This window comes from Homo sapiens, chromosome 20 (assembly GCF_000001405.40).
Source record: "Homo sapiens chromosome 20, GRCh38.p14 Primary Assembly".
NCBI classification, from domain to species: Eukaryota; Metazoa; Chordata; class Mammalia; order Primates; family Hominidae; genus Homo; species Homo sapiens.
The window spans coordinates 8930145-8940625 of record NC_000020.11 but is presented as its reverse complement, the minus strand read 5'-3'; the positions used below and the strand labels follow the sequence as shown (position 1 = coordinate 8940625).

Sequence of the window (10481 nt, the reverse complement as noted above, 5' to 3'; positions counted from 1 at the left end):
GCTGGGGAATTACATGTAGATGCCCCAGTCATCAGCCCTAGCTAAGTCCACTGACAGCCTGCACCTCCTGCTAGGCACTTGAGTGAGCCATCTTGCGTGTCCAGTCCTTCAGATGACTGCAGTCCAGCCAACATCTGATTGCAACTGCATGAGAGATTCCAAGAGACAACTGCTCAGCTGGGCTGTTTCTGAATTCCTAACCCACAAGACCAAGAACAAGATAAAATAATAAAAGCTGCTAAGTTTTGGTGTAATCTGTTATGTAGCAATAATATCAGCAATAATAACAAGAAATACAGTCACAATAGCAAGTGAATATTACTCTAACCATTTGAGGGTGATGGTGGAGATGCTGGTGGTGGTGGTGAAACAACACAGCTTAGCAATGTTAGATGGATACATATTGGTTAGGACTTATTTGTGTCATTAGGACAGAATCAAAAAGAGAAGCATAATGGAAGCAATGAGTTGAGAGAAGCATAATGGAAGCAATGAGGGACAAATCTTTGTTGCGCTTCATTCCCATTGAGGTGATGGAGGTAACTTTTTAAGGGCTATACTGACTCTTAAGCACATAATAGCCATGACTGCTTAACACTGTCAAGCAAGGTCTGGTTTTATGTCCATAGATTATCTATGGAGTGTTACATAAAATCTATAAGAGGCCATTGATTTGGACTGAGCTCCTACATTAGGCTCCAACAGACCAAACCGAAATGGAGTCAGTCATGTTCAAGTTCTCCATTACCATTACTCTATTACTTAGATAATAAAACTAAGTGTTATTATCTGACTTTCCAAGAAATCAGGAGAGGGATGGCTAGTAGCCAAACTCCCCAAAAGGCCAGTTTTAGCCAGCATGATAAGGAAGTCCCCTCGACTTTAACTCTTTCAAAAAGAGTAATGTGAAGTAACCTGATGCTAACTAATCTGCTTTTTGTTCCCTGTTTCTGCTTTCTTCAGCCCCTTTTTGCCTATAAAGCCAACTCCTGCTCAGGTCATCAGAGAGCCTTTTCTAACTCTTTAGATGAGATGCCCCCCAAGGCATGAAAAAGCCAATTAGATCTTTAAGTTTGTTGAAATTTGGCTTTTGCCAAGAGCACAGGCCACACCTGAATCTTAGCCACCACTTTAAAACATGTATGTTTCCTTATAATCAAAAATTGAAAGACGTGGGGGAAAAGGGGGAAACAGAATCCAATCATAAATACATCTTTCCAAATCTCACATTTGTAAAACTCTTTTAACCTGATTTACCCTGATATGGTTTGGATCTGTGTCTTTGACCAAATCTCATGTCGAACCGTAATCCCCAATACTGGTGATGGGGCTTTGTGGGAGGTAATGGGATCATGGAGGTAATCTTCATGAACCTTCATGAATGGTTTAGCACCATCCTCCTGGTGCTGCTCTCATGACAGTGAGTGACTGCTCAAGAGATCTGGTTGTTTAGAGGTGTGTAGCACCTTCCCCCACACCCCTTCCTCCTGCTCCAGCCATGTGAAGTACTGGCTCCCCCTTCGTCTTCCACCATGATTGTAAGTTCTCCGAGGCCTCCCCAGAAACTGAGCAGATACTGCCATGCTTCCTGTACAGCCTGTGGGACCATGAGCCAGTTAAGCCTCTTTTCTTTTAAATTACCCAGACTCAGGTATTTTTTTATAGCAGTGTTAGAGCTGACTAATACAGACTCTAATTGGCAATGTATGACAAAATGCAAAAATAAATTTTTTCAAAAGTATATGAGGTAGTGATTCATTACCTGGGATCATTAAACTTTGAGGTATCTCTCCAGGGGTCCTTAAGATTTTTTATTGGCTTTTAAGTAAACATTTTATTTAAGTATAACATATTTAGAAAAGTGCAGTAGGAGGTAGTGTACAGCTTAATAAATTTTTTACAGGCTGAACACACTTGGGGAACTAGAGACCAAGTCTGAAATCAGAACATGACGAGTTCTCCACAAGTTCCCTTATACCTTCCTCTAGTAAGTACTCCACCTAATCATCATTCTGGCTTCTAACACAATAGATTAATTTGGTCTGCTTTTGAGCTTTATATAATGAGACTCACACATTGTATACTCTCTTGTCTGCCTTCTTGTGCCCCATATTGTGTTTGTGAAATTCATACATGTGGTCAGGTATAATTGAAGATTGTTCATTCTCATTGCAGTATAGTATTCCCTTGTGCCAGTATACTGCGATTTAGTTAGCCATTCTTCTACTGGTGTTCTCAATAGATTTATAATATTTCATACAGCTTAATGGAAAATGTGAAGCTCTAATTGGAATCAATTCTGTTGAAAACCTTGAGTATCGAATGTGGTAACTTTGGTTTGGAATAAGCAGTCACTATGATCTTATTGTTGGACACTCACTATGGAGAACCTCTGATTGGCAACCCCAGTCTTTGATGATATTTTTTTTAATGGCCTCAAAATGCAGAGTTGGCACTGAAGTCCTTTTGGCCTCAGTGTCTGTAAGGATTCAGCTCTTAAAATGTCAGTGGTTCCCTCTGAGGGTAAGTTTATGGCAAGGAAAACACTGAGCTGAAGAAAACATTGGGCTTAGAGGTTTAGTGGAATGATCAAATCAAATTTCTGAATTACAGTCTGCAGTTTTTGTGGGCTTGTGAAGGATAAGCACATGCTAGCTTCAGAAGACATGCCACGAGGCAGCTCTCTTTATGTGAAAATATCAGGTGACACTACTCTTATTAGGAAACAGAACCCATGCAATTCACACCCGCTTAAAATAAAAAGCAAGTTATTAACACTTCCCAACAGCCATGATGACTGCAGTAAACAAAGGCAGTCTCCTGGCATCAATAAGAAATTGTGGCAGGAGCAGGCTGTGACATTGGGCTACAACTTAGACCCCATCTGAGTAGTTTACCTCCCTTTTGTTGAAAAACTGGGATCTTTGTGTTAAACCTGAAGATTCTCTCCACGTGATTCTTTACCTAGAGTCCTTAATACACACCTTTATGCCGCGCTATATCAGGAAGAATTCTATCCCAGTGACCTCTAATTAACCAGACATCAACTCTGTACATTGTCCCAGGACGAGTCAATTCTTTCAGGAGTTAGTTTCTTAAAACCTAGACCTTATTTTTTGCTTGGGTAATTTTGTGATTCGTGGAGGCAATTTTGTATTAATCAGGGTAACATAACTGCTGTTACAGAAAAGCCTCTATGCCTCGCTCGTTACTACCACTCCCTTCCCTGCGCCCATTCCCTGCTGGGCCAGAGAGGCCACGCCACTGCCTGGTAAAAAGAGTTGGGAGAAGAAAAGCCGAGAAGCGGGTCCTAAGGACGAGCTCGCAGTGCTCCTGAGGAAAGCGGCGCCAAGATGGCTGCCTCAAGGGGGAGATGGAGGCCGAGTCACTCCGCTCGCCCCTGGAGGCCGGATGCTGTTTTCTAATGTGATCGTCCTGCCCTCGGCCCTGACTGTCATGGTGGCTGTCACCACTTCCGGCCTGCTGCCTACACAGATTGCGCTGTCTGAGGGAGAGGGATCCTGGCAGTCCCAGGACCTGCCTTCTTGGAAACAGCAGGGTTGGAGCACAGGAGCACCTTGTAGATGGGCTTGTGAGGGAGCAGATTCCACTGCAGAAACCCCTGTAGAGGAGCAGGACGCAGGGGACATGCTGTGGCCCAGACAGTGGTGGTGGAGCAGATGGAGCCTGCATCTGCCCAATTTGGCCAAAAAGTCCCCATACTCTCTGTGAAAAAGATTTCCAGAAGCTGTGTCAATAACAAAGCAAAAAAAAAAAGAAAAGAAAAACACAAAATCATAAACACTAAAGATCATTCTTGAGTCTGATTTGAAAACTGGGGTCAAATTCTGCAGAGGGATGCAAGGGACAAGATAGCCAGATCTGTAGGTCCTCTCCGTCACACCAGGGAAAATGCTCCATTCACCATTCCTCAGGTCCGGCTCCAGTTTGAGTTCTGTCTATATCGGAGGGGTTTTAAAGCTAGAGGTCACAAGGTTAAGAGATCAAGGCCATCCTGGCCAAAATAGTGAAACCCAGTCTCTACTAAAAATACGAAAATTAGCTGGGCATAGTGGTGCGTGCCTGTAGTCCCAGCTACTCGGGAGGCTGAGGCAGGAGAATGGCTTGAACCCGGGAGGCTGAGGCTGCATTGAGCTGAGGTCACACCACTGCACTCCAGCCTGGGCAACAAGAGCAAAAATCCATCTCAGAAAAAAAAAAAAAAATAGAGAGAGGTCAAGAGGGGAAAGTGTCATGTCATAAGTCAGAGTAGAGTCAACAAGAAAATAAGACAGTGACTGACGCCCTACTGTATACTGGACATTGGTTAGCTACCGGGGATGCGGAGATGAAGAAAACATAGTCCCTTCTTCAAGAAGCTCAATCTAGCAAGGTAGATAGACTCTTTACAGGCAGGACCAGGCTTCCCTGCAGCAGAAGAAGACTTGAAATCAGGGTCATGAGCCTCAGCAGGGACGGGTCAGCATGCTGCCCTGAGAGGATCATGTGTGGACCCCGGGCTGTGGCATGCTTCTGCTTTGACCCTCTAGCTGCGCTGTAGGACCCGGTGGGGCCTGGAGTGGCCTGAGGTAGGGGCTGCAGTGAGCTTTTTCCACTCCCCCAAGGCACTGCATAAGTAATGTCACTTTATATTAACACAAAATCAGGGACACAGTTTTTTCAAACACAGGGTGCTTCCCCTCCCCACAGTCCAGCCCGACAGATGGTCTATCCTGATTGGTGGGCCCTTGTTTCTGTTGGAGAGGAGACAGTCCTCAGGGTTCCAAGTGGTCAGTTGTGGCCCACAGGCCACTGGCAAGTGGAGGCAGAGCTGCAGAGCCCTCAAGAGCCATGGAGAGCCTGTTGCCCGCTAGGAGATGCATACTCAGCTGCTGATGGCCCACCTGTGGATGGCAGAACTAGTGATGTGCAGAATCCTGGGACTAGTGCCAGTGAGTGTTGGAGGGAGGTGACTGACCTCCTTGGCCCACACCCCACTGAGAATCCCGCATCTGCTCAGGGGCAGTAGAGACCATGTGGACCATCAGGACTTGGTAGTGAAGGGAAATAGGGAAGCAAGACATCGTGGTCACCCAGCGTCTTGGGCACAAGTCCCTCTGAAGAGTGTGGATGATGACAGTGACTTAGGTGCGTTCTTTAAATGTCCTGAGGGGGAGATTGGAGAAGCAGACATGCAACTGTGGGAAGAAAACCAAAGGGATAAAGTACTCATAGCATAAATCCAAAGTTGGCTCAGCCAGCAGGCCTCTCTGTAGGGTGCAAGTGGACAGCTGAAAAGGGACCTCCGGAAGCTACAGCTGGCGACTCCCACTTTGCCTGGACTGCACCAAGAACACACGATGGGGTCTCAGCAGGAAGTCTACTGCTTGGACCTCAGTAAAGTGTACTAAAACTTGAACTGTGTCTTACATACCTGTGATCACTACAAGAAGATGGCCCAAGACCTGGCCGAGGAATAGAAGTAAGACACTTCCAGTTCTCAGAGAGAAATCCTCTTCTATGAGAAAACGGCCCAGGAAGGCTGGGCGGCCACCTTATCTACTGAGAGACCACTCCAGGTACTCTGGAAAGAAAGTAAATGCAACAGGCAGAAGCTGGCTGACTGAGAGGCCAAGTTCCAGCCTTTCCCAAGGGGCCCTTTGGCTCCTAGGGCTCCACCTATAGCCCACAGGGGCCTGGAAATACCAGGGGGACTGTGGCCTACTAGGGACCCAAGGAGGGAGGCTGGTCATGATGTGTGAGCTTGGGTCCACAGCACCTGCTGATTTGATTCTGTTTTCCCTGTAGCCAGGTCCTAAACACCCAGAGACTCACCAGAACATCAGCTGGTGCTGCTCACTTTAAAATACTTTTGATTGATCTCTTGTCAGTTTAGCTACTGTTCATTAGTTGTTGCTGAAATTGCTTTCACTGAAGTTTGATAGATCGTGTTAGGATTGCAAGGTACTATTTTTCAAATAAAGATTGTTTAATATAAAAAAATGCCTCCAAATATCAGTGATTTAACATGAGACATTTATCTCTTGCTTATGTCGCAATGTGATGTTGGCATTCCTGATCAAAAGGTGGGCATTCCAGGAAACATTCAGAAGCTCAATTTCCTTCCATTTTGTGTTTCTGCCTCCTCAGAGCCTCAGGGGCCTATGTAATTTAGACGACGATGAGGAAAGAGATAATACAGAAGAGACCTCAAACTGGAAAAGACATGTATCATGTCTACTCACAGTCTGCTCATAGAAACTAATCACAAGGTCTTGCCTAGATGCAAAGGGTTCTGGGAAATGTCATCTCTTGCTGGGCAGCTGCTTTCTAGCTAAACACTGTATCAAGGAACACAAAGCACACATTTTGGTGGAGAACTAGCTGTCTCTTCTACAGAAAGTGTTGGACATTACATTTTACCTTATTTTAAAAGAAACAACAACACGACATTTGTTTAATTTTAATTAAAATGTGTGAATCTAAGGCTACAAAATTGTGTTACAAAAATATAATTTCATTTCCTATAACTCAAAATAATTTGCATTTTGAAGCATCATCCCTTCAGTACAGCAAGAAAATTTAACTGGGGTCTCTAAAGTGTTTCCTTCCCAGAATTTATGTCAGAATTCTGGAATGAATTTCTGAAATGTCGGGGATCGGGGCAGGAATCTTTTGATGGATTATTGTTGACATGGGTCCTCATGAGATGTCCACTAGAGAAGAAGTCGTGCTCTTTAGTTCTAGTGATTTTGTTATGCTATTCTCAGGGCATGGGAATTTTTCTGTGTCTTCTCACAAACCAGTCCCCTAGAATGGAGGCACTGAGGTAGAAAGATGTTGTTTCCCTTTGCTCTGAGATCCCAGATGTTTTTCAAGCACTACTCTCCAATCCTAATCCCAAAGGGAGGAGTGTAGCAATAAATCTTAGGAAGGGAAATCCTTCTTTCAAGTTTCTGGCTGCTAAGTTTGGACATGGTTTGTTTTTCCCCACCAAATCTCATGTTGAAATTCGATCCCCAGTGTCACAGTGTTGGCAAGTGGGCTGTAATGGGAGGTGTTTGGATCATGATGGTGGAATCCTCATGAATAGATTAACACCCTTTCTAAGCAGTTAATGAGTTCTCACTCTATTAGTTCCCAAAAGAGAGCTGGTTGTTAAAAAGAGCCTGTCCCCTCCTCCCTCCTGCTCTCTATTGCTTCCTCTCTCACCTTGTGACCTCTGCACATATCTGCTCTCCTTCACCTTCTGCCAGGAGTGGAAGCAGCCTTAGGCCCTCATCAGATATACATGCCCAGTTTCGAATCTTCCAGCTATCAGAATTGTGAGCCAAACAAACCTTTGTATAAAGATAAAAATTTATCTTTATAAATTACCCACCCTCAGGTATTTCTTAATAGCAATGCAAAATGACCAAGACACTGACCAAAATGTTTTGTCTATACCCCAAATGCTCCCTTTTTTTCTGAAGTTTAAGCTGTACTTCAAACATGCAAGTCAAACATGCAAGATAGATTTCCCCATCGAGATCTTTTTACTTTTAATTAGTAATGGTTCACCAGCACTTGGAAGAGTACTGGGCACATAGTCATCACTCAATAATATTTATAGGATGAATGTCCTTCAAGGCAGATGACATAATCCTCATTTTACAGAAATGAATACTGGGACTCAGAAAGGCTAAGAAAATTGCAAAATGTTCCAAATCTAGTAAATGGGAAGGCCAGGAATTTAACCCAGGAAGTCAGTCTGCAATCATATTTATTTTAAAAACCCTTTGCTTTCTTCCAACTCATCTGTAATGCATTAGAGAAAATCCTGGACTTGGATATAAAAACTCCCTGTCTTACTGTATTTGTGATTTTGGGCAAATCACTTAATCTCATTATATGGTTCAGTTTCCTCATCTGCAAAGTGCAAATAATGACACATTTCTCACAGATGATTGGGAGGTTTAGATAGTGATAAATTGACCACTGGGAAGATAGGTAGTTATGTCAGTCATCCGTGGTCACCATACACAACAGTGAAGCAGACAACCATGCAACCACAGTGACATAAAACTGTCAATTGATAGCTCACACAACTGGGGTCAGTTAGGGTCCAGCTAGGGTCCAGCTAGGCAGTTCTGCTGATCTTGGCTGGACTCATTCATGTATCTGGGGTTAGGCTGGCTGTCAGCTGCACTAGGCTGGCCTTCACTTGGATGACTGGGTGATTCATCTCTTCCATTTATTTCTCATCCTCCAGCAGGTTACCCCAAGAATGTTGTCATGGTGATAGCAGAGGCACAATAGAGCAGATGAAAACACATAAATTCTCTGAAGTCAAGGCTTAGAAGTAGTACACCATCACTTCCACTGCATCCTGTTGACCGAAGCAGGTCACATAGTCTAGCCTATTTAAAGACTGGGGGAATTGACTGTTTCTCTTCAGTAGGATGACTTGCAAAGTCAGAGGGCAAGGGGCATGGATATAGAGAGGGAAAATAATTGGGCCATTAATGGGATCAATCTTTGACAGTAATTAATACAGTTTAGTTCAATCTAATGTGTATTGGGGCATATTAAAACTTGGAATCCACTTAATGATTCCTCTGGAAGCTATTTCATAACCTTGTTTTAGCTTCTTTCCCTTCTGTTTCATTAGATGAATCCCTAGCTACTCTCTGGAAAAGAGAAGGGTGGATGGAACCCCCTCAGGGGATATAGGCCTGTTTTCTAACTGGAGATTTTCCCTAACTGTGCATATGTCTACAATTAGTAGATTACCAATGTGTATGTCACTCTCCCTTTTTTCTGAAAAAAGGAAAATCGCTCTCTTGTTTCCAAGTAAGGTTTAAGCATTTCTCTATTTGGGGTTGTAGGTAAAAATCCATCAGCACAGAGATCTGGGACACCTACCAAGCTCCTCCTTGTACTGCACAAGGGCAAGGACTCCAGGTATACTGGGCACAACGTGGATGTTTTATTGACCTTGCGCATCACCTAACCGTTCTCCACTGTGCTAGCTTTGAAGACAAAGGGAGTTAGGTGAGCTCCACAGTCTCCTGGTATGGGAGAGACAGAGAGAAACTCTGGGTTTGATATGTTCTTTTAAATAACATGGGCGTACATCATTTTATTGTGCCTTGCAGATATGGCATTCTTTACATATTGATGGTTTATGGCAACCCTGTGTCAACTAAGTCTATCAGCAACATTTTTCCAACAACATGTGCTCACTTTGTGTCTCTGGGTAACATTCTGGTTATTCTCACAATGCTTACAATTTTTTCATTACTATACATATTATGGTGATCTCTGATCAGTGATCTTTGAGGTTACTATTGTAATTCTTTTGGAGGTACCACAAACTGCACCCACATAAAATGGCAAACTTAATTGATAAATGTTGGGTGTGGTTGGACTGCTCCAAAAACTAGCTGTTCCCCATCTCTCTACCTCTCCTTGAGCCTCCCTATTCCCTGACACGAAACATTATTAAAATTAGGCCGATTAACAACCATACAATACCCCCTAAGCGTTCAAGTGAAAAGAAGAGTTGCACATCTCTTACTTGAAATCAAAATCTAGAAATGATTAAACTTAATGAAGAAGGCATGTTGAAAGCCAAGACAGGCCAAGAGTTAAGCCTCTTGTGCCAAACAATTAGCCAAGTTTTCAAAGGAAAAGTTCTTCAGGGAAATTAAAGTGCTTCTCCAGTGAACACATGAATAAGAAAGCAAAACAGCCTCTGGCAATATGGAGAAAGTTTGAGTGGGCTGGATAGAAGATCCAACTAGCCAAAACGTTCCCTCAGGCCAGAGCCTAATTCAGAGTGAGGCTGTGACTCTCTTCAATTCTAGGAAAGCTAAGAGATGTGAGTAAGCTGCAGAAAAAAAGTTAGAAGTTAGGAGAGGTTGGTTCCTGAGGTTTAAGGAAAGAAGCCATCTCCATAACATAAAAGGCCAAGGTGGAGCAGCAAGTGCTGATGGAGAAGCTGCAACAAGTCATCCAGAAGATCTAGTTAAGATCATTAATGAACATGGCCATAATATCAGCATTAACAGGAATTTGGAAGATGATTCCAACTCTTATGGATGACTTTGATGTGTTCAGGATTTCACTGGAGGAAGTCACTGCAGATATGGTGAAAATAGCAAACAGCAACAACGAAAACCTAGAATTAGAAGTGGAGATTAAAGATGTGACTGAATTGCTGCTGTTTCATGATAAAACTTGAGTGGATGAGCAATTGTCTTTTTCTGGATGAGCAGAGAAAGAAAGTAGTTTATTGAGATGAAATTTACTCCTGGTGAAAAGGCTGTGAACATTGTTAAAATGAAGACAAAAAATTAGAATATTAAATAAACTTAGTTGATAAAGGCAGGGCCGAGGGAATTCACTCCAATTTCAAAAGAAGTTACATTGTGGGTAAAATACTATCAAAGAGCATTGCATGCTAAAGAGAAATTTTTTGTGAGAACAAGTGTCAACTG

At 43.1% G+C, this 10481-nt stretch overlaps 2 annotated features.

The window, feature by feature from the left end:
* Nucleotides 2934-3436: an enhancer, noted in NCBI's record as "H3K4me1 hESC enhancer chr20:8917837-8918339 (GRCh37/hg19 assembly coordinates)". NCBI's record gives its function as "activates a minimal SCP1, AML or CMV promoter by ChIP-STARR-seq in naive and primed H9 embryonic stem cells {active_cell/tissue: H9 hESC(naive and primed)}" and the evidence as "EXISTENCE:reporter gene assay evidence [ECO:0000049][PMID:30033119]".
* Nucleotides 3437-3941: an enhancer, noted in NCBI's record as "H3K4me1 hESC enhancer chr20:8917332-8917836 (GRCh37/hg19 assembly coordinates)". NCBI's record gives its function as "activates a minimal SCP1, AML or CMV promoter by ChIP-STARR-seq in primed H9 embryonic stem cells {active_cell/tissue: H9 hESC(primed)}" and the evidence as "EXISTENCE:reporter gene assay evidence [ECO:0000049][PMID:30033119]".